The 23,643-nt window shown below is 33.8% G+C and overlaps 1 protein-coding gene across 89 annotated transcripts in view; it reads left to right on the forward strand.

Annotated features, from left to right (window-relative positions):
- Positions 1-23,643, forward strand: part of RIMS1 (regulating synaptic membrane exocytosis 1) — a 516,596-nt gene that overhangs the window by 381,519 nt on the left and 111,434 nt on the right. For 38 of the 89 annotated variants that reach the window (XM_017010517.3, XM_047418419.1, XM_017010522.3 and 35 more), the window contains one exon: positions 15,979-16,050. The exons of 34 other annotated variants lie outside the window; for them this stretch is intronic. In XM_017010517.3, coding sequence (XP_016866006.1) covers positions 15,979-16,050 — 72 coding nt within the window. Of the gene's footprint in view, positions 1-6,280; positions 6,365-15,978; positions 16,051-22,610; positions 22,794-23,643 lie in introns of all 89 variants that reach the window. 17 more of the 89 variants (XM_017010516.3, XM_017010519.3, XM_024446369.2 and 14 more) reach the window with 5 other exon arrangements.

Raw genomic sequence — 23,643 nt, forward strand, 5'->3', positions numbered from 1 at the left:
AATGTAAAATAAAACTTAGATAAGGTTTCATCAAGTAATTACAGAAGCTGTAGATGCTTATTGGTTTGGAGGATAGAGACTACAAGTACCCTTTGTGAACACGCCTATGAAGCAGCTTTGAAGCAGAAGATAACAATATCAAGAGTGGTGACTTTGTTATCTTTGGAGAGTGCATCTAAAGCCCCTAGACAGTATGCGGAGAGTATGAGAAGGGAGGCTTAGAGGGTTTTCGAGGCTACTTAATTTTTCTAATTTACCGCAGGGATTATTGTATTAATGCCTAATATATACATAGTAGATAAAATGTTAGAGCAAATGTTTTAAAAACTTAATTTTATATTCTTAAGAGATGAACATTATTTCTACAAATTTGTCAACTATGTATGGTCAAACGATTTTGATTAACATTTACATGCCTTTATACCAACTTAACTCCTAACCTTTAACACAAGTTTTCTGTTAAGATAAAGGGTGAAATTGTCAAAGCACACTCAGTACTCAATATAATACTTTTCTAATGATTCAGAAGATAAAAGAGCAGCATTCTTTTCCTGAAGGAATTGAAAACCATCAGATACACCTATCGTTTCTCCCTTGTTACATAGTTTGGCCTACTTTAACAGATGAGTTTTGAATAATGCATGTAAAAAGCAGTTTGGAAAGGAAACCGTTTTAGTTTAGGAGCACCTCCATTTCATGTTCTGTTGATTACACAGATGGAAAACATGCTTATGGGTTACCATAATTCAGTGAATTATTCCAATTCAGTTATGCTTCTTAAATCAATATATTTGAGGTTTATTTGTAATAAGAAATAATTTATCATTTATATCTTCCCATTTCCCTTGCTTCCCTGATTGGCAAGGAGTGAGTTACAGGCCTGCTATTAACCTTTGCTTTTCTAGGTTTTCAAACAAATTGTTACTTACATGTTCAGAAGCAATGATTTTTAGAGCCACTAGAGAAAACTTACTTTTCTTGGATGGTTTACCTTCTTCCTTGGCCTTTCAGAGCAATCATATCCTTGATGAAGGCTTATGAAAGGGTAGTTTAAACTTACCGCCTGCATTTTTTACCTTCCAGTAATTCCTGTAATCTGTAGCTGTACTGAAGTTCTTCTGTGGTTTACATTGGCTCCCTAGTTGTTCAGCAACATCTTGCAACATTTTACATTACCCACCCTGTCACTTGAATCTCTCTTCCATTAAGTACCTCTACAGATTTTCTTAAACCTCTGTTATGATGTCTGCTTTGAAGGCTTGTCTTACTCCGCTGTCCTATAAAGATAGGTATTTCCCTAGCTCCACCTCCAGTTTTCTTCTTTTGCCCCACCCATACTGTACTGTTCCTTAAATTTTATTTCTATAAAAGGTTCCCACTCCAATACATATGAAGACAACCCTCCACTATGATTGACCAGACCCTGTCAGGCCTAAATTTCTAAATGATGATGTCTAAATCAACTTCATTATCCCCACTTCAGTCCCTTTACAGCAAAATCCTTCCTCTTTCTAAATTTTTCTCTCATTTTATGGTTTTGACATATAACCAGCCACACAATCTGCAACTACTTCTCTTCCTGCTCCGTCACAAATTCAGTCACAATAAATTCAATCAATTCCTTCGGAACAGGTCCCTCACCTTGAATATATTAATAGATAGCCCTTCTCCAGTTCCAGTGACACTCCTGCTCCCATTAATTTTCTTAAGTTCTAATAGTCTTTATTAACTTATATCTCATTTTCTTCCTATTAAAATTAAAATATTCTTCTTCCTTTGTTGTCTGATTAAAAATTCTGCTCACTGTTCAAAAATACAGGTTAAATACCATATCTTTGTAAAACCCTTCTTAACCTCCTCCCCTGTCCTCAGTCCCGCCACCAACACACGCACATACTTCCTTTTCTTTTGCCAGTCAGAATTATTTACTATCTTTTCTGGGCCCACCTAATTTTATATACTTCTATTAAAATACATTGTATTTTATTTAGTACTGTAGTATGTTTGTGTCTTCCACTATATTGTGATATTCTTCCACGATATCACCATATAGTGGAAGAAACACACACACTAGCCTTAAGGGAAAGGAAGTTCTTGGCTAAAAATCAACAGCTATAAATTGAATTGAAATAGATATCATAGGTCTTGTTTCAGAGTATAACTATGTGTATTAATTAAAATAAGTTAAATTTAGTTTAAAACAATATTGGGGGAAAAATATTTAAGGACTAAAATGAATAATTAGAACAGACAATAAAAATACATATGTGTGTAATCAGTTATCTCATTTTGTTTGGTTTTTAATGTTATAATTTCTAATTGAGGGCAGGGATAATATCCTATTTCTCTTTTCCATCTATAGTGACAACATGATGTATTTTTTACTTGGTAAATCGTTCATTTGGGGAGTTTAGGGGCTTAAAAAACACCTTCTACTTTTCACTTCAAAGTTGGATTGAGCTGTGAGTTAGACCCAGGTACTAGAAAGATGGGAGATTTAATTTTCAATATAAGTACTTTGAACAGAATTGAAAGCTGTGGCTTTGAGTCTGCAAGATGGCTAATAACTAATCCCAGAATCAGCCAGATTCACTGAGCCACACAAACTTCTGCTACAGGGTCAGGCCTCAGATCTCATCACTGCTTTACAAGTTTGTTTGTTGTGCTGTTTGCAGGCATCATAATTTGGAAAAAGGAATCCAGAAAGGGCTAAGTTTCCTGTGCCCAATTCTTTACCATGGTCACCTATCATATAAGCCACTCTTTCTTCCTTGGGGTGCAATGAGGAAAGGCTTACTTGAATGAATTTCCCTCAAAATGGAAACATGAGACTTAAGGGAAAGGAGGTTCCTACCTAAAAATCAATAGTTATATATCAAATTGAAATATGTATCATAGATCTTGTTTCAAAGTAGAAGTACTGCCGTGGTGGCTCATGCCTGTAATCCCAGCACTTTGGGAGGCTGAGGCGGGCAGATCACTAGGTCAGGAATTTGAGACCAGCCTGACCAACATGGTGAAACCCCGTCTCTATGAAAAATACAAAAAGTAGCCAGGCGTGGCGGTGTGCACCTGTGGTCCCAGCTACTAGGGAGGCTGAGGCAGGAGAATCGCTTGAACCCGGGGAGCAGAGGTTGCAGTGAGCCAAGATGGTGCCACTGCACTCCAGCCTGGGTGACAGAGCAAGACTCCATCTCAAGGAAAAAAAAAAAAAAAAAATATATATATATATATATATATATATATATGTTAATTAAAATAAGTGAAATTTAGTTTAAAATAATAGGGAAAAAATTTTAAGGACTAAAGTTATTAATTGAAAACACAATAAAAATATATATGTGTATAATCAGTTATCTCATTTGTTTTGGTTTCTAATGTTGTAATACCTCATATTTTTAATTTGTGCTATTTATGGAATTAATGACTTACATTTTTATTTAATGCCTTTTTTAGATAGTTAAGCTTCTTAGCCATGTTCTGCCAAGAGATATGCACCATTGAAAGACGTGTGTATATGCAAGTACAGGTATTAATAATACACATATACATTTGTTTTAAAGTTTATCAATGCCTGGGGGAGAGGGAAGAGCTGCAACATAAGTATCATTTAATTGCTTTCTGAGGCCTATCAATTCTCAATCCCCTTATGTCAATAGCACTGTCTATTTCTTGGTTAAGGTTCTCATTATTCTTTATCCCCAAAGCCAATAGCCTTATGTCATTATTTACTTAAACATTCACAAATATTTGTTTATTCTGTGCTATGCATAATGGATGCAATTATCAAAAAACAAAAAAGCCTCACTGTATTTCCTTCTGCAGGGAGTTCACAGCCTTTTTATTCAATCCTGTAGCCTCCAGAGTGATCTTTCTTCTTTTCTTCTGATCACAGTGAAAGGAGTGGGCTCCCAAGAAATAGATGTTCCTCAATTAATGAATTTAGAATACCTGATACTAAAGTATGAATAATTTACTAAGTAACTAAGCAATGAACTTTTAGGTAGGCTGGTTTGGAAATACAAATCAAGAAAGGACCGGTTTAGTTCAACTTTATGATTAAAATCTCCAACGTAGCCTGCCATATTAGCTTGTAAAATGAAAATAGAAATGAAAGTTGAAGCTATGTATATTTCTCAATAACCAGAGTTGGGAAGAGAGATAAAGATTCTAATTTTGGTCATTCCTTGTAATAGGGAAAAAAACCAGAAGTAGCACCTATTATAGAAAGCATATAAAATATGCTAGTATATTTAAAACTTACAAAGATGTGTTATTAAAACTTAAGTGACATCTTTTCTTAGGACAAAAGCTTGGATATAAATTGATCCTGCTCTCGTTGTATCCACTGTATGTGGGAAAAAGCAAACAGATTTATTATATTGGTACTACATATCAGCATATTCAGAAGGACTCTAAGTGTACAAATATACGTGTATTAAACCAAATATTCGTTTAAAATTACCTTTTAATCGCTTGCATTCACAATTGCTTGTTTCTAAATGTACATCTTTCTCCTCCACAGCTTTCACTGCATGTTTCATAATTATGCCATTTTTACTTGCTTTTTCTTTACTTTTATGTTTAAATAAGCACAAGGACTGGAATTTTGCCCTAGGAAGCAAGGTTATTCATAATTCTGTCCAGTTAATATTGTTACTTCACAGAAAAATACTAAGTCTATATTTATGTTTCCAAATAACACCAAAAGTTTTAACACAACTGAGTATATACCTTAATGTAGAAAATGCTGTCGTCGTAATTCTTTTCCAATTATTTTACAACTATTTCTTCATTTTATCTATAAACAAAAGCCAGTACAGTGAAAAGAAACTTTTTAAAACATTCAGATTGGATTGACCAATCCTTTAAATAATTTTTAAAAATTAAATAAAGTTAATGCAAAATGTTATTTCATCAACATTTATCACCTTTAAGAGTATGTTCCACACATTTTTATCTTCTGCTCAAAATCTGCTATTCAGTATTTTCACTTGCTTCATGGCTTCTTCAAAGCCTGACTTGAATCATGCCAAGTTTGTCTATTTAAGATAGATTAAACAAAGGCTTCCAGAGAATTTCAGAATTGAGTATCTGATGACCTCGCATATCCTGAGTGACAGAAGCCCTTTGCTATGTTTGGCCAGATGGTCTAAAATATTCAGTAAACCAAGTTATATCTGGCAAGTTTTCAAAAAGAAAACTTTCTTTTTGAAATGGTAGGACTAGACTCCTTTGGATAATTATAAAATCTTATACCTAAATGAGTCCTTTAAGACTATCCAGTTATTCCTTCTTTCATACAAGAAAGCCAATATCTAGAGAAAAATATCCTGTTAGAATTTTCATATATAATAAATAAAAAATTTTAATTCTGACCCATTCAGTGTCTTATTTCCTCAGTTTTAACTAGATGTTTGAAATTTGTGTCTGTGCACAGACAGAATCTAAAGGTAGCTTAACAAAGGAATGAAACAGTTTTCTAACTTGTGTTTACTGTTAATCGCAAGAAAAGTATTGTAAATGCTGAGCTAAAAAGCATCCATTTAATTGACATACTTTTGCAAATAAAAACCAGTGAAACTAAAAAAAATTAATGCTAATTTATCATTTCATGTATCTATGTTCTTTGCTTTTATTTATCAGTATCGTTTACTTACAGCTTTTAAAGTTCAGTAATTAGCCCTGTGGTTTTTGACAAGAAAACTTAAGAATTCACTTGTAGTTTTCCCATGAATTATTTCTTCATGTCACGGTTTCAACACTGAAGAACACTTTTATTTCTTCTACTTAACTGTGCTCCTTACTTTGTATTAAATTCACACATCCCCACCTTTGCAACTCTACCCAGTAATTTCAAGGCCTGGTATCACAAAATCATTGGTAGCTTATTAAACCTATTTATTCAAACATAAGCCATATTCCTAAAGATGCATCTTTAAGAACTTAAAGTTACATTAATATTTGTATATTTATAGATTAAATATGCACATAGAAGCACATTTTGGAAGAAAAAAACTACACTTAATAGGCGGATTCCAAACATCTTCCCGAATAAATTGTTTCTTTATTCACTTATAAGATTATAGGTTTTATGTTCTTAAAGTATTGTAACTTATCTTTCCAAGGCTTATAACAGTGAAGATTTTAAATTATGGAGCAAAGAATCTACACTTTGCCTTTATGGGGTGCTTTTCCAGTCCTCTTGTTCCATGTATTCTTTTATTTTAGGAGTTACTAAATGTCCTGTTTTTTCCTGTCTTGTTCACTGGGCAAACAGGGGTAGATGGTCCCCCTCCCTAGATAGGAGACGACCTCCTAGTCCCAGGATTCAAATCCAGCATGCGTCTCCGGAGAATGACAGGTACTAGTCAACTCCTCCTCACAGACAAGTGGCTTCTAGAAGCTTATAGGCCACCAACTGAAGGATAACCAAGAGAAAAGTTGAATATGATGTACTTTATTCCAGGAGCCAGAGCCAGATATGTTAGATGTAGCCAACTCTGGTAAAGCACCTCAGAATATTTACTGAAATGAGGATAGCATACAAATGGCAGAGTTTAAACCCAGTGAAGTCAGGATCCATTGAAAGGATGTTCTGTTTTGAAGAGCATTTGATTGTGTTTTGAATTTCTGGAAACAAATTTAAATACTGTTTTTGTTGACAAGTAAATAAAAATTCTCAGGTGCTTTAGAGTATATTAAAATCTGTCACAGAGCCTATTTGTTATATTGGTTGATGGTTTTATCTCAGTTGTCTTGTTTTGCTGCTGTGTACACTTGTTAACAATGAAGTTTAGGCTTTGATTATATTAAATAATGTCTGTCTTATTAAGTAAAATACCTGGTTTTTATATATTTTATAAATATTGTATTGTTAAACACAATATTGTCCAGGGCTAAGGGGTCAGTCCCCAAGGTAGGTTTTTAAAAATAGCATCAGTGCTTTGAATCCACTTTATGCTGATATGTCAGAAGTGCCACAACATATATTTTCCATTACTTTGTTATTCTTCTCAGTGTGAAGTTGACCCAGTTTTCCTATTTTATGGTATATATATATATATATATATATATATATATATATATATATATATATATATATATATATATGCTTTATCTTTAAATGTGTTTTCCTGACTGGTCACAAAGGTTTTTGGGTGTTTGAGATGCTTCTCTTCTGGTTCAAGCAGAAATTCAGCCAACGCATTGGTAATATTTATTCAGCAGATAAGTAGACGTGGTATCTCAGAAGCAGCATAATTAGTCATGTAAATGTACAGATTTTTTTTAGTGTGTGTGCGTACGGCAGAGTAATTTAAGCCCTAGTTAACCGTGACACAATTTATTTTATGTATTTGTAAACAATCAAGATATCCTCAGGATTTTAGCTTGAAAGAAAAAGGAAACATTGTCACCAAGAAAAAAATTAAGGTTGTTTTACAAATACTGGAAAAGACTACAAACTGATATTTTATGAAGGTTTCAGGAACATTTTAGCATCTTTTAATCTCTAAGATACTTGCCTCAATATGGTTTACATTTACATATTTGGAAATTAAATATAATTCTTTCTGCTACTGTCTGATTTCTAGGATAGAAATTCTGGGACTAGAAAAACTAGTAACCAATCTAAAAAGTATTACAAATGTAGAGTCTTCTCAAAAAAGAATATAAAATAATTGTGTAAATTCAATAAAAATTTATATCTATATTGCTACTCATTTATTCAATAAAAACTTATTGTACCCCTACTATGCACCCTATCCAAATGGCTAGGTCACAACAGTGATTAAGACAGACAAAGTCCTGGCCATCAGGGAACTTAGAATTTTCTTTTAGAAAAAATACTTCTGTGCCAGGCATGGTAGCTCACACTTGCAATCCCAGCACTTTGAGATGCCAGGGCCAAGTGGGGAGGATTACTTGAGCCCAGGAGTTTGAGATCAGCCTGGGCACCACAGTGAGACTGCATCTCTGCAAACAGTTTCAAAATTAGCTGGGTGTGGTGGCACATGCCTGTAGTCCCAGCTACTCAGAAGGGTGAGGTGCACACACAGTCTGTGAGCCCAGGAGGTCAAGGTTGTAGTGAGCCATGGTCATACTACTGCATTCCAGCCTGGGCAACAGAGTGAGAACCTGCCCCCTCCGATCCCCAAGAAAAGAAAAAAAGAAAAGATAATTCTAGAAAACCTTTGTATGTATTCCAAAACAAATAAAATAGTAGATTTCATCTTCTGTATTGATTGAGTATAGGAAAATTAAACATGATGATCTTTGTAATGAATATAAATGTAAGTTTATCTGGGCATTGATTAAGCAAAATGGAAATTCAAATAATACTTTCAGTTCTTACATACACGAGATGTTATTAGCTTAATTTAGTGGTATATGAATTATTCCATTTGATTGTCTCGATAGTATATGTAACTATAAGAGTAGATTTTGGGACCAGAAATGATCCTTTTAGATAAGATTATTAAAATAAATTATTATTAAATACATAATTTTGAATACATATTTTGCTTTTTTATGATAACATATTTATAGATAAGTCCTATGTTCGACCAAAATAAATACACTTTACATCTCTTGATACTATTATTTATTACTATAGAGAATAGAGAATTATTTACAATACAATTTTATTAAAATATAAGACAAATATGTACGTATAAAATGAGAGATAAATTATGTCCACTAATGCTACATTCATAGGTTATATGTCAACCACTTGGCAAATCGTAATGAACGTTGGCATTTCATTTCTCATCAGCTTTATTTACTCATTCAGAAGTTTCTACCAATTTCTAAATGAAGTAAATATGGCATCAGATTTGGATATAGTGAATGTTCATAAGAATTTCAGCGTTAGGTGACTTTTATTGTTGGACACTGGTAGCCAGGAAAATATTCTAAAGTTAATGACAATTTATACAATTCAACTTTGGATATCTTCTATCAGGGCCATAGTTGATTATTTTGAAAATAACATTGTAATGCAGAACGTAAATTATTCCTTAAGAGAGTTATCCAGTACATTCAAATAAATTGAAAAGCTTTTAGTTGCCCTCTTGTTTCCCACAGCATATATGTGTACACAGACACACAATTTTTAGAGAACCATTTCTCCATAATTTAACAGTAAGCATTCTCAGTTTTTCTCAAGTGATACCATAGATTTATTTGGAATTAACATGAAGGTACTTTTATCTAAGAATATTTTCTAGAGGCCGGGCGAGGTGGCTCACGCCTGTAATCCCAGCACTTTGGGAGGCCGAGGCGGGCGGATCATGAGGTCAGGAGATCGAGACCATCCTGGCTAACACAGTGAAACCCCGTCTCTGCTAAAAATACAAAAAAATTAGCTGGGCGCGGTGGCAGGCGCCTGTAGTCCCAGCTATTCGGGAGGCTCAGGCAGGAGAATGGCGTGAACCCGGGAGGCGGAGCTTGCAGTGAGCCGACATCGCGCCACTGCACTCCAGCCTAGGCGACAGAGCCAGACTCTGTCTCAAAAAAAAAAAAAGAATATTTTCTAGAAATTGAGGAAATTTAAAACATTGATGAAGAAAAAATACATAAATTTGGAATCCCAGGGGATGTTTTCGATTTTAAAATTGTAGTGAAAATTTCCTTGTAGTTTTATTTCTAAAAATGTTGACCCTTAAAAAATCATCATTCCAATAACAAAGCATCTCTTTAGAAATAACACTATTTTAATACATGAAAATGCTAATGAACCTATATATACGTAATTATATGAGTGTAAATTAAATGTAGATTGAGTTGTAGCTTGAAATTAACCAAAATTTGTAAGTAGCCATTTAGAAAAAATATATTTTAATATGGCCCTGAAGCATCAGAGTTCTGAGTTTAGTGCTTACAGTTTAATCAATCGTCTTTAAGAATGAAAGGCTAGTGTAAGTTATTATTAAATAAAACTTTAAACTATTTTGGTAAATGTTTTATTCAAGAAAATGCAATATTTTCATTGGGTACATTTTGAGGTATATTTTAACATGTCACTGGCTTTACAAATCACTGCAGTTACTATCTTCAATATTTTGATTGAGAATGGTTTTTAATCTATCTATCTATCTATCTATCTATCTATCTATCTATCTATCTATATATGATTTTTAAGGGTACAATTTAGTAGTGCATGACTCAAATACCAAAAATATTTGGTTAAATAATCTTATTTCCAGAACTTTAAATTTTTCAATTAAGTAAAGCATCCCACTATGTTTAATTCCTGAGTTGTTCTGCTAAAGTGGCTCTAGTTTCTTTTGCAGATAACCAAATTTGTGTAGTTTCCTATACCTATTAGTTGGTAGCAGCTACTTGTCTATAAGAATCCTCAACCAAGAGTATCAAGTGATTTCTTTTGATTTAAAATGAATTAATCTTATTTCTCCTTTGAAAATATTCTGGGACAAACAAATCACAAACTTTTTGCTTCCAGGATTCATGGCAGTTGCCACATATTTTCAAAGTTAGTGTAGAACCACTTATAAATAAATACAGTACATTACTTATTATTTCTTTTTGTTCTATAATATCCTTTATTATCTGTGCTTTTCAAAAATACTCTTTCTTTGAATGAACAAAGTGTATCCATGAACTAAAATATGGTGAGTCTATTTAATAGCTACAGTCGTATACATAAATATCAATAATATACAGGAAGGTAAATGTATCTTAATTGCATGCATCCATCTTCACTGCATAGGAACATCTCTTATTTAGGTTGATTCTATTCAAATTTAATTTTTCCTTCCCAAACTTAATGAGTAAATAGGGTGATAGAGATTTGCTTTGCACATTAAGACAGTATAAGCCATGTAAGTAGTAAGCCAAAATATAGACATATTCTTATGATATCAGTGTTAGCTCTAATTAAGTGAAAACATTATGTAGTAGACTTTTGTTACAGTATTTCCAAGGCAGAACAGACTATGTTTTCATTGTTATAAAATAGTCTTAAATAATTATGATTTTATTAATTTTGTCCTTTAATAAAATTTTAGTATTTTATCCTTTAATAAAATTTTAATGCCTTCAGAAAAGCTTTATTTACCAACGTCTTTAGAGAGTTACCCTAACTGAAATTAGTTATTGAAAAGGAAAAGAAAACACATAGATTTTAACAATTACCTCTGTTTTTCATCAGTTCATTTTATAAATCTTCACACTAAATTAATAGAAAGGAAATAATCACAGAAAATGGAACTTCAAAAGAATTGGGGTTTAAGTAGAAACATCCCATTTTCTGATTTTTACTCTAGCTTTGATTTAATAATAAAATAATTGCTTTTATACCTTACAGTTGAATGTACTTTTATAGCTTTAAAAGAATTTCTTTAGTACATTGTGAACTAGAAAGCATAAGGCCAAAAATCACACAACTATTAAGTTGTGAATAAAGGGAGAAAAACTCAAGATTTCTGATTCTTGCATGTTTAAAACCAAGTAAATATTCTTTATGAATAATATTGTAAAGATAAAAAATTTATGCCAGAACAAAAAAGCATGTTTAAACTAAAAATAAGACATAATGAAAACACTGAAACAGTGTTGTCTTGTTCACTCGTGCCCAGGGATCTCTCAAATAAACATCTAATCATTCAAAATGAACATGTGGCAGAGTCAGCAGAGAACTTAAGCACATAGGGGTGTGATGGTGTTATCCTCATCAACTTATTAAGGTCTATCATAGCTTGGATGAGACACTTAAACTTTTGTGGACTAAGTTTCCTCATCTCTAAACTTAACTGGTTATACATGGGATAGCTGAATTTTAATGTCCTATAGACTCTAAAATTGAGTCTATACTGCCTTGTTGCATCATGTTAAAACATCCATTAGGCCCTGGATAATGACTGACAGTTCATTATGTATTATTCAGTAAACCAAAGGTCATGTTGTATTTAAGTATTTTATATTTTGCTGAAGGCCAGAAAATTATGCAGTTTTATTTTTAAATTTATTTCATTTGAGGCAAACTAGATTTTATAGCCCTAGTTAGTTCTTTTTTATTGTAATTTTTGGGCTTTCAAATTTAATGATAATACTCAAAATATTACCTTTTAAACTATCCATTCAACAAATAATTATTGAGCAACTACCATATGCTAGGTGTTGATATTACACTGATAATCCAAACAGACACAATTCCTGACCACAGGGAACTTAAAGTGGTATAAGGTAGAAAGTAATTCATTTTAGTATGATCTATTTTGTGATTACACAATTAATAGTTTCAGTAGTATGGTACATGAATATAGGTGGATTGTTCTAACCTTTCCTATTTTATATATCTCAATCCAATTTATTCTAAGACATGGCTGTGTTAAAATATACAATATTTTGGCTATAATTTGGATTCAAAATAGAAAATAACATTAGAATTTTCTATTTTATTCTCTGCTCCTTTACAGAAAATTATTGCAATTAAGTGCATATCATTTTAACTTAATTTACGTATTCTTTTAAGGGGTTAGAAGAATTATAAAGACATATCCTTTGTAGTTATCTTTAGAAGAATCTTTAATGGAGGTAAATTTCATTGCTATTTGAAGAGAAAAAAGGGGCATCCTCAATAAGAGGGTTAAAAATGAAAACAAAAATTAAAAGGTTAGATTATGAGCCTTTGCATGAATATTTGTTATCCAGTTATAGAGCACTGGCTCTAAGTTTTATATTTTTATAGATGAGTAAGAAAACCCTTTGCCTTCAAGAAACAAATATTTAAAGCAATATTTTCATAGCACCACTTGCTAATTCCAAGTAATGCAAAAAACATAGTCAATTCTAGTTCTGTGTAATACTACAAATACTACAATACTGAGTACTACTGAAATATTTAAAATTAGCAAAACCTGTGTGTGTGTGCAGTGGTAGTGGTATTATTGCCACTTTTTAGGTAAAAGAAAACTGAAGCACAGAGACATTAAGTAATTTCACCAAAATCGCCTGGCTAGCCAGAACAGAGCTGAGATTACACCCAGTTCATTATTTTAGCCATTTATGCCAGAGATACAACATGATTACTGTTGTTCAGATTATGGACTCTCAGTTCACCTCCTGGCTAGATGTTGAATGACCATGTAAGCGAGAACAAAGTGTTCTCTAACTCTCAATTTTCTTATTCTTAAAAAGGATAAAAGAGTAGTACCTACCTCTGGATTGGAAAGAAGATTATATGAGATAATGCAGATAAAGTGAACATGCTATCACAGAGAAAGCTCTCAGTAAATGTTATATATTATTAATATCATAATCACTGTTACAACAATCATTGATTACTGTGATAATCTAATATATGAATCCATTACATTTTAGGAGATGAAAAGAGGAGGAAGAGTTTGAAAGTTTCACAGAGGAAATGAAATATCACTTGGGTCTAGAAATTAATAGAAGTTGCCAGGGATCAGAAGAAAAGCAGGCTATTTCAAAAAGATGCCAATAGCCCTTTGATTGTGCAGAAGTTTTATTCAAGGGTCCACCAGATTCTACACAATTTCTCTGCCTTCTCCTGCAAAATTTTTCATCTGAATCATCTCTCTTGACCCCTGCCTTCTTATTATTTCCTATTATTTCTTCCCTTTTCCTGAGATACTTTTTCTCTAACAATATACATGGCTATCTCCTTCACTTTACATCTTTGCTAAAATGTCACCATTTCAATAAGTCCTTTCCAACCACCCTACTTAAAATTGCAATATGCTCCTGCCCCTAAACTCCCACCTTCTTACCCTGGTTTACTTTTGTTGTTGACATGTATCACCTTTTCCCATACTACATAATGTACTTGTTTGAGCTACTTTTTGTTGTTTATTTTTTGTCTTGTATCAACAAAGTGTACATTTCTTGAAGGTAGAGAGAATTGTGTTTTTTTTTCCACAGACATATTCCAACCACCTAGAACAGTGCCTAGTATATATACATGCACAAGTGTTTGTTGGATGAATGAATGAATGAGTGGAAATTTTAATGACAGTAAGTTTTGTGGGTCTTCCTGAATCTCTCCACTCTCATCTGCTCTACTTGTGCTGAAGATGAGAAAAGGAGCATTTGATCTTCCAGTCAGTTGCCTTGAGCACTGTGGGGACCAAGCATAAATTTCCCATAACTATTTTTATTTTGAGCTCCAATACCTCCTGAGCCTGCAGATCTAATTACTAATCCTTTCTTCTCCCCTTACTTCTCATCTTCCCACTATGCTTATGCCTTCTTCCCTGTGCTTCAGGAACAAGATTCCATTCCCAACAACCATGTCTCATTGATTTCAGCCATGAAATCAATCATGGAATCTCTGCCCCCCTACCACCCATGATCCCCTCTCCTGACCACAGAAGCAATAAAGTAAATAAGAACCTTAATGTCAGAGAGAGAGAGTCATCTGTTAGTGATATCCCAGCACCTGATTTCATGGTTTCATTTCTTCCTTCCAGAACAGATACACACATAAGGCATGTGCCAGAATCTCTCTCTTCCACTCTCTTTGCTGTATAGTATAGAACAGAAACAGCTTAGGAGCCAGATAAACTTAGATTTTAATCCTAGCTTTGCCACTTTCTAACTGAGTAGCCTTTCCCTGAGCCTGTTTCTTCACCTATAAAATGGAAATGACACATTCTTAAAGGATTTTCATGGAGTTTAAGTAAGTTCATATCCCCCTCAGTGCCTGACATAGTTATCCCTCAATATATTGAGTACGCTCTTTTCCAACTGGTAAGGGAATATGATGTCTCACTCCTCTATTTCTTCCTTTTTTATCTTAAAAGTGGTATGTCAGATTAACATGAGTCTGAAAACACACAGCTGAAACCCTGAATTGAAGGGGCAAGAGAGTGTGAACACAATTTCTGGCGAAAGCGGAAGAGATTGGGAGAGATGAGCAGTCCCAGAACTCTGTAACAGCCTGTGAAGGCTTGTACCTTGATATGTGTTCCTAGTGCCTAGCAGAACTTGGTATATACTAGATACTTAATTAGGATGTCACACATTAATAAGTAAAGACAGATATTTTTCTCAACATTGTTGGGAGAAAGGGATATCAGTAAAGAAAAATAAGCTTAATTTGTAGATAATTAATATTAAATACACATTCCTAGGGTTTCTCTCTTTTTTTTTGTAATAAGTGTGAGCTTCTTGACCACAATATTTTACATTACTTATTTCAAATATATGGTACTGAAGACATTTTAGGCTAATTAGACATATGTAAGCTGCTGTGGGGAAGCAAACTTTTTATAGAAAAATTATTTCTGTGGGAAAAATGCATTTCAAGTGTTCAGTGCACATATGTACTTTTAAAAAGTAGAATAAACTGGGGAATATGATTTGTAATGTGATTAAAATGCTGTGTGCTTTTAAAAATGCTATGTAATTTATAAAAGCATCTTTATGAAAAATTTTAAAATGATTTTAATACTTTATATAAATACTTTCATTTATATAAAACATCTTTAACTGTAGCATTTTTCTTCTCTTTTCTTCACAATTTGTGGGGGACAAATCAAAAAAAATCTTTGTAGCACCAAGTTTCAACTTGTAAAAGTAGGGGGCATTTCACCCCTTTGAAGCCTTTCAGCACCTAAACTATTACCATCATCACATTTATCATTATTACACTTCACCATTGCATTTGTTTGCTCATCAGCAGAGGCCGAGTTGCTCAGTAGGGGTTCATATTAGATCATTGTTGTAGACGTACTTGTCTAGACTAATGAAATGTCAGCTTCTCGTGTCTTCTATTGGGCAACTTGTGTCTTCCACTTGGCACCAATTCTGGTTTTCATTTTATTCATTCATTCATTCATTTATTTGTTTATTTAGTTTTGAAAAGTACTGACTGACAAAATCATTTAGGTAATATAGTTGCCATTTTTCATGTCTATTGTGTTTATCATTGTATGATGTTAATGTAGCTTTATTCATCATATATTTTGTGTTTAACATTTCATTCCACAGGCACTCCAGAAAGTCTGAAAGATCTAGCATCCAAAAACAGACTAGGAAAGGCACTGCCTCTGATGCAGAAAGGTAGGCTTGGTGTTGTGGTGTGCTGACATCTTCCATTTTAGGAATATATTTAGGGGTGCTGTCACTCTCATTTTACATGATCAGTTCTTAAACACAAATTGTGATGTTTAAAGGCATTCATGTAACTAAACCTACCCCTAAATGGAAATGATCTCATTGAAGAAGTAAGAGAAGGATAATTTCAAGGCGGTTCTTAAATCTTAGGGTTTAAAAAATAATTATGTATTTCTCTTAGTGATCATTCTGATTACTAATAAGGATTAAATCCATACTCATTCCTATATACATATTAGGACATTAATATTTTGTTTCTGATATCTTTTAAATGTTACCAATGAATGTAGTGCCTGGAATATGCAAATTATTGACTGTCTTATTTATCTAAATAATGCCATCTTTTAAAAAAATCACTTTTCTACAAATATATATTCTAATATTCTACTGGTATATTATAACCAAGGATATACATTGAGTTAATGTAAAATTATAAGGGATTACTAACCTTTTGTTTGCAATTTGTCCAATTCCACAAAGGTTTTAAGTATTTTTAGGTACAACATATTGACACTTTTTTTTTTAACATAGTGTTAAAAGACCTAAGAATTGCAACTAACATATATTCATTCACCCATTCATTTATCCAACAATGACTGAGAGCATGTAAAGGGACACAGATGTAAATGAATGAGTATATTCAAGTATCATAGCTTTCATTATAGAGGCATGCACAGGTACAGTATGAACACAAGAAAAGTTGTGCAGTAAGGATGAAATTAGGAAATGCTTCATAAACAGATGTCCCTTGAGCTAAATCCAGATACATAAAAGTATGTGTGAAGAGTGGAGTATTCTGAGAGGGGACAACGTGAGAAAACACTGAGATTGGAAATACTATCTTGAGTTTGGGGAAATGGTACCAGTTTTGGGATGGAGAACAGGATTCAGTGGATAGAAAAGAGGCCTGAAAATAAAATTGGAGAAATTCTGAGAGGTTAAATGAATGACATCACTATGCCATGTTAATACCATGCTAAAGAATTTCAACTTCTTTATTGATCTGTGAGCCACAGATGTGCTTTAAACATGGGAGGCAGAGGATCAGTTTTGAGTTCCAAAATTATAGATCACTTTGACTGATTTTTGGAAGGTAGATCAAAGGATCTAGGGGTAGATGCAAGGCATCAGCCAGGCTATCTCAATAGGCCTAGTAGAGATAGAATTTGTACAATTCAGTGATTCATTCAGTTAACAGATATATACCAACTATGTGCTAAGTTCAAGTAATAAAATAGCAAGTAGCAAAAAAGAAAAGCTTTCCAGAGGATGTTAACACTGAGTTGAGATCTGAAAAATGAGTAGGTGTGAGACATATCAAGGGATGTGGTATGTAAAAGGGAGATGAAATTTATTTCTGGACAGTGGTCCATGGAGAAATTGACTATTTAGGGAACTTGATTCACAATGGAATAAGGATACAGGGGACTCATGAAAAGTGTTGAGTAGTACAAAGAGTTGGACTTTGAGGAAGGAAATTGATCAATCGATAGATAGATAGCCTTTGATGAAACAATGTTTGTATTTTCACATTCTTTAATCCCAGCTCAGTTAACTGCAGTTTCTTTACCATCATTGTAAATAACTATAATTTCTTAGATAAATTTTCAATCTTCAACCATCATTTTCAGCCCCCTCTACACAATTTCAATTATTTTGACATGATTAAACCTTTTCCTTGAAGTTGTATTCTTTTAATTCTATTCAGTATTCTTTCATTCATTTTTTAAAAATACTAGTTGAGTCTGGTCATGGTGGCTCACACCTGTAATACCAGCACTTTGGGAGGCCAAGGCGGGCAGATCATCTGAGGTCGGGAGTTTGAGACTAACCTGACCAACATGGAGAAACCCCATCTCTACTAAAAATACAAAAGTAGCTGGGCCTGGTGGCACATGCCTGTAATCCCAGCTACTCGGGAGGCTGAGGCAGGAGAATTGCTTGAACCTAGGAGGTGGAGGTTGCGGTGAGCCGAGATTGCGCCATTGCACTCCAGCCTGGGCAAGAAGAGCAAAACTCCATCTCAAAAAAAAAAAAAAATTGCTAGTTGAGTGACTACTGTGTGTAGTTATATATTAAGGATACATCAGTGAACAAGTTTTTTTGGCAATAAGATACTATTTTAGAAAATGATAGATGATGCCAGTGTCAGCTGGAGGTGCTTAACTCCAGATTAATGATATTGAGGCATCTGCCTTTGCAACTCTGAAATGTAATCTGTGGATAAACACAAATCCTCCAATCAGAATAGCAAGGATTTGATTGACTTTCATTTTCAAATATATGACACTTATGAATCATATTCATAGTACTCTTGCCTTTCCTTTGCTTATAGTTTAAAGTAGAAAGCTGTAACCTTTTAGATGTGTTTGATTATAATTAAAGCTTTTCATTGATTTTTATTAGAGTGTAAACTACATGCCTAGTTTCTTTGTGAATTGTTGAATAGCAGGTTACAAAAGAAGAACTGGCCTGGGTTTTCTAATTTATGTTAGCTCTGAATAAGAGCTGTTAAGAAGATACCTTGAATTTACATCTAGCTACACGTGAACCGAAGACACAGTATAAATGCTTTGGACACTGACTCCTGGCCTTTGAGAGTTGATAACTTCCCAAAAGGAGTCATACTACACAGTTTTGCACTGGTTTCTGGCGAAATTTGCTGTTTAATGATCATAATTTTAAAGGCCTTTTATTGCCCTCAACAAATGTAACCTCATGACAGATAGCCTTTTAAGAATATATTTTGAAAGAGATGATGACCAGTTGTCATTAGGAGACAAGTAGAACTGATTTATATTTTTTGTGTCAAGCCACTTAAAGAAATGTATCATATTTTCTTTGGAAGCTTCTTGATAAGATAAAAGTCTAGCTTTTCATCTTCATGTGAATTCACCCTTGAGAACTGCTGCCCATCATTTCTGCATTCCATTCTAGTGACTTTTCTTCCTGTAGAAACTACACTCTACATTCTAACTTGGGGATGCTTTATTTCTTTATTTGGACTACTATTTAGAATTGCTTACATATGCATTTTATGGTGTGTTATTGCAAAAGAGCCTGTGCAGGCCTGTAACGGACCAGCACAGTAGGAACCACTTTGAAAATTTGACCTTAAATACCACATACATGTCCATTCTTTAACAAGTTGTTTAAAAACAAAAACAACAGAACTACATTGTTTTTAGGCTTTGGTAGAAGCAATTTACTGCAAGTCCATTTGCAGCAACAAAAATGTCTGACTAAAGACGCAAATTTTTATTGAGAAGTATGTTTTACTTAAGTGTAAATCAAAACTCTAGTCTTAGATGAAGGAGAGTAGGCATGGATTGAACTTAGTGGTAAATGTTTAGATACATACTTGAAGATGGTAAACTTAGGGTCAGGCATACATAAGTTTGAATTAAACTTTTGCTCTGCAAACTTTTTTTTTTTTTTTTGGAGATGGAGTCTTGCTCTGTCACCCAGGCTGGAGTGTGGTCACACGATGTTGGCTCACTGCAGCCTCTGCCTCCTGGGTTCAAGTGATTCTCCTGCCTCAGCCTCCTGAGTAGCTGGATTACAGGTGCGTGCTATACGCCCGGCTAATTTTTGTATTTTTAGTAGAGACGGGGTTTCACCATGTTGGTCAGGCTGCTCTTGAACTCCTGACCTTATGATCCACCCGCCTCAGCCTCCCATAGTGGCATGAGCCACCACGCGCGGCCGCAAACCTCATTTTTTAAAAATGAGGAGCTGTAAATATACATAATAGAGTAGGTATTTGTTAAATACCATTGTCCATATATTTTGATTCCACAAACTCTCAAACACAGTTCTGTTAAGTCCTGCCAAATAATTTGATACTTGGACATATGGTTTGTGTTAAAAGATTCATGGTACATCCTGAGATGTGAAATTACCACTTTTTTCTCATGATACACAAACAATCCTATCTCACTAGACAGAAAAGAGAGCAAGCATTGGAGCTGGACAGACCTGTGTGGATCCTGCCTCTACCACATTTTAGCTGTTTATCTTTCTCCAGGTCACTCTATGACCCTCAGTCATAATAAAATAAAATAAAATAAATAAAATTAAATAAAATAGTAGTAATAACGCTTCTTAGTGTGTGAGAATACAAAAAGGTACATATGTATATACTTGTATGTATAAACCTATAGATACATATATGCATGAATACATGCATGCCTGCATATGCGCACAAACACTTTCAGTTCTTGGCATGAATAGATGACCCTATATTGATGCTCAGTAAGGAATAGCTGTTACTGTTATGTTATTTATCCATCCTACACTCCCTGTTTCATTCTCTAACAGGTTGTTCTAAATCTCTATCATTCTTCTTACATCCTTACATTCTTAGCACATCCCATTTCATTGAAAAGATCAGGGCACAACAGCCTGGATTCTTTCAACTTTACACTCTGTACCTCAGAATTTCTTGATTAATTGTCCTTTCCTCTTGCCTAAAAACAAACTATACTTGGTTCTATCATCTCTCCTCTGCAAAACCTTGCTCTTCTCTCTCTAAGCTCTGCATTTTTCCTCTACCCAGCTTCCCCTTCATAATTCAGCATTGCTACCACATTCCTTTCTTCCTCTGGCAAAGTGGCTTTCTACGCTTCTCCTTTGGTCTGTGATCTCATGCTTGTTACAGAGTGGCTGGGGGCAGGAACTCTTTTATTATTGAGGGACTTTTCATGTCAAAGAAAAAAAACATATATTGTGCTAAACGATTAACCTCAAACATTACAGGCTATTTTCAGACACTGCAAGCCTTGTGGCTCAGGAGATGGAACACTATATGTGGTTGAGCTGTGAATATTCACCCAGGAAGCCATTTATTTGCTCCTGAAATTGCTTTTTATACTTTTGCCATTTAGTTTGATGCCACAGAAAGTTCACCGAAATTTTTTACATTTCAAGTCACATTTGAGTTTTTCTTTTAGTGCTTGTGAATTGCTTTAAGGAATGGAGCAAGATTTAAGTGAAATTGTAATATCCGTGAAATTTCTCAGTACTAAGGTGAAAACTGTATAATTCCATTTGCGAGCCACGTTTAGAAAGAGTATCTTGAACAAAGATTGAAGTTTATTGTCATGATAATGACTTTTAAAGAGTAATAGATAAAACTCTCATCACTGGAAAGGACTTGATCATTTACTCTATCCCATAGAAATTCATTCTATGTAGTTGAGTTAATGTGAAAAGCCAATTTGGAATAAACAGTTTTAATATATAGAACCCTATGAGTTACTTTTTATTTTAATTTGGAAATTGAGGTAACAGCCCAGGTTTCAGCGTTTGAATTATGACGTGATAAAGCATTAATTTATAGCTCAAGAAAGTAAAATACGCCTTTATTAAAGACCTAAGCTGAACATCTTTTTGTTATCTTCAACCTGACATTTTCCTGTTTTGTTGTTCTTGAATGAATAAGATACTCAGAATCAAAATCATTATAGCTATAAAAATCATTTTACTTAAAAGAAAAATTGCCAATCTGAATAGAAGTTGAATGACACTCCTTTATGTGCTTTTGGTGATAAATATGTATTCTTTATTCTCACACATTTTTAGTCACTAAGTGAATTTTACAGTATTGCTTTAAAAAGGGATGAGGTATCATTTTATTCTTTCTGTCAAAATAATACCTGCTAGGTGTTTTAATCATGCATTTTATTTAAAATAAATACCAAAATCAATGAAAAAGGCAAAAGCATGCATTAAAAAAATAAGTACATCTATATAAACATCAGTTGTTTATTTTTAATTCATTAATTGGCTTTATAATAATTTTAAACGCCATAGTAATATAGTTGTCAAAATATGGACACATACATTTTCAGGTATTGTTATATCTGAGAGAACATGTTTTTATCCATATTTCAGCCATTTATATTTAATCAGATGTATAATTAATGGAGCATTCTCCACCTTATATTGTTTTAATTTTTGTCTACTTAGATTAACCTCAAAAGGCAGGCTTCTTTCGTTGTTTTTGGCATAGTCTTGCTTATTACAGAGTAAAATTATGAACATTGTAAAAATATAGAGGCCTACAGTATTTCTTCTTGAAGGCAAGCACTTGAAGCTTTCCTGTATTCATCATCCTAATTACAGTCACTCATTCAAGCAACATACCTTTATTGAGCTCTTGCTATCTGTGCAGCTGTGTTGTAAGCACTTGAGATACAGCTCTATAAAACAAAACAAAACAAAACAAAACAAACAGACAGGAGTCTCTGCTGTTGGTGGAACATACAAGAGGTTTATTACATTAGAGCAACACCAATTAGTCTTTAAAAACCACATGGCGTTCACATTTGCAATAATAACTTGTCAGTTTGATTTGAATTCCATTTCAATAATTGCGTGATGGGTTCTCTTCTTTGAAATTACTGTCATGTACGAGTAACCAGGTTTTCCTTGGACAAATGTGTTGGTATCAAAGTTAATGTGAACCTGCTGACTGAAGATCTTTTTTGGCCCTAATGTTTTAGGGTTCTCCCAACATGTCTTTCTAGAAGGGGACACGCAGCCCCAAGAGCAACTGATCAGCCAGTCATTAGGGGAAAACATCCTGCTCGCTCAAGGTCGAGTGAGCACTCTAGTATCAGAACACTGTGTTCTATGCACCACCTTGTCCCTGGAGGGTCGGCGCCACCTTCTCCGCTTCTGACAAGGTCGCTATTCAGTGTCCCCCTCAGCATTCATGTCCTGCCTCCGGGTGTTGGTGTGGTGTTGTACCTTCCTGAGCACTTGAAGCTTTCACTCATTTTGACACCATAACTTTTAATCCTTTCTTTGTGACACTTAAATCTCTCTCACATCCTCTATTACTTGCATCTATCTTCACTGTGCTGGTGGTATACTATAGTTTCTGCCAATTAGCTCTCATTGAAAATTAAATTTGGCTGTGTTATGTCCTTTCATCTGTTTGTGGCATATTCATATATAATTTTTTTAATTATGTGAAATTTTTATGATAAATTACCTGGAGTTAAATGTGTGCTTACTTTAAAAAGCATAAGAGGAAATTTTAAAAATCTTTTATATGTGTTCAGTAAAGTGTTAAGAGTGTTTTAAAGTTCTTCAGTTTGAAAAGTGTTTAAATGCCAACAGATGGAAGTCCGCTTAATCCTGGGCAGTAGTAATATATCGGCACACTTCTCAAACTTTTATTTGTAATTTTAATGCTAGCACCAGTGTATTTCATAACATATGTCCAGGATTATTTTAAATATCTTTCAAATTTGTTCCTATTTAGAAATAAAGTACAAGTGAGTGGTAATTTATAAAAGTCTGCAGCTAGAATTCTTATCAGTTATAAATAATTCTATAGTCAATATCAATTTAAGAGTAGCAGTTTAGGCAACAGCCTTTCTTGCCTCATTTATCCATATTGTTAAGATCCAGAGGCTGTAATTAGATGTATTTGGTTCAGTACTGCCAAAACTGAATAACTTGCCCAGGTAGAACAACTTAATAGAAAGTTAATGAAAAGAAGTGAATTGGATTCTGCTCAGTTTAAGA

Source organism: Homo sapiens, chromosome 6 (genome assembly GCF_000001405.40).
Source record: "Homo sapiens chromosome 6, GRCh38.p14 Primary Assembly".
Taxonomy (NCBI): Eukaryota; Metazoa; Chordata; class Mammalia; order Primates; family Hominidae; genus Homo; species Homo sapiens.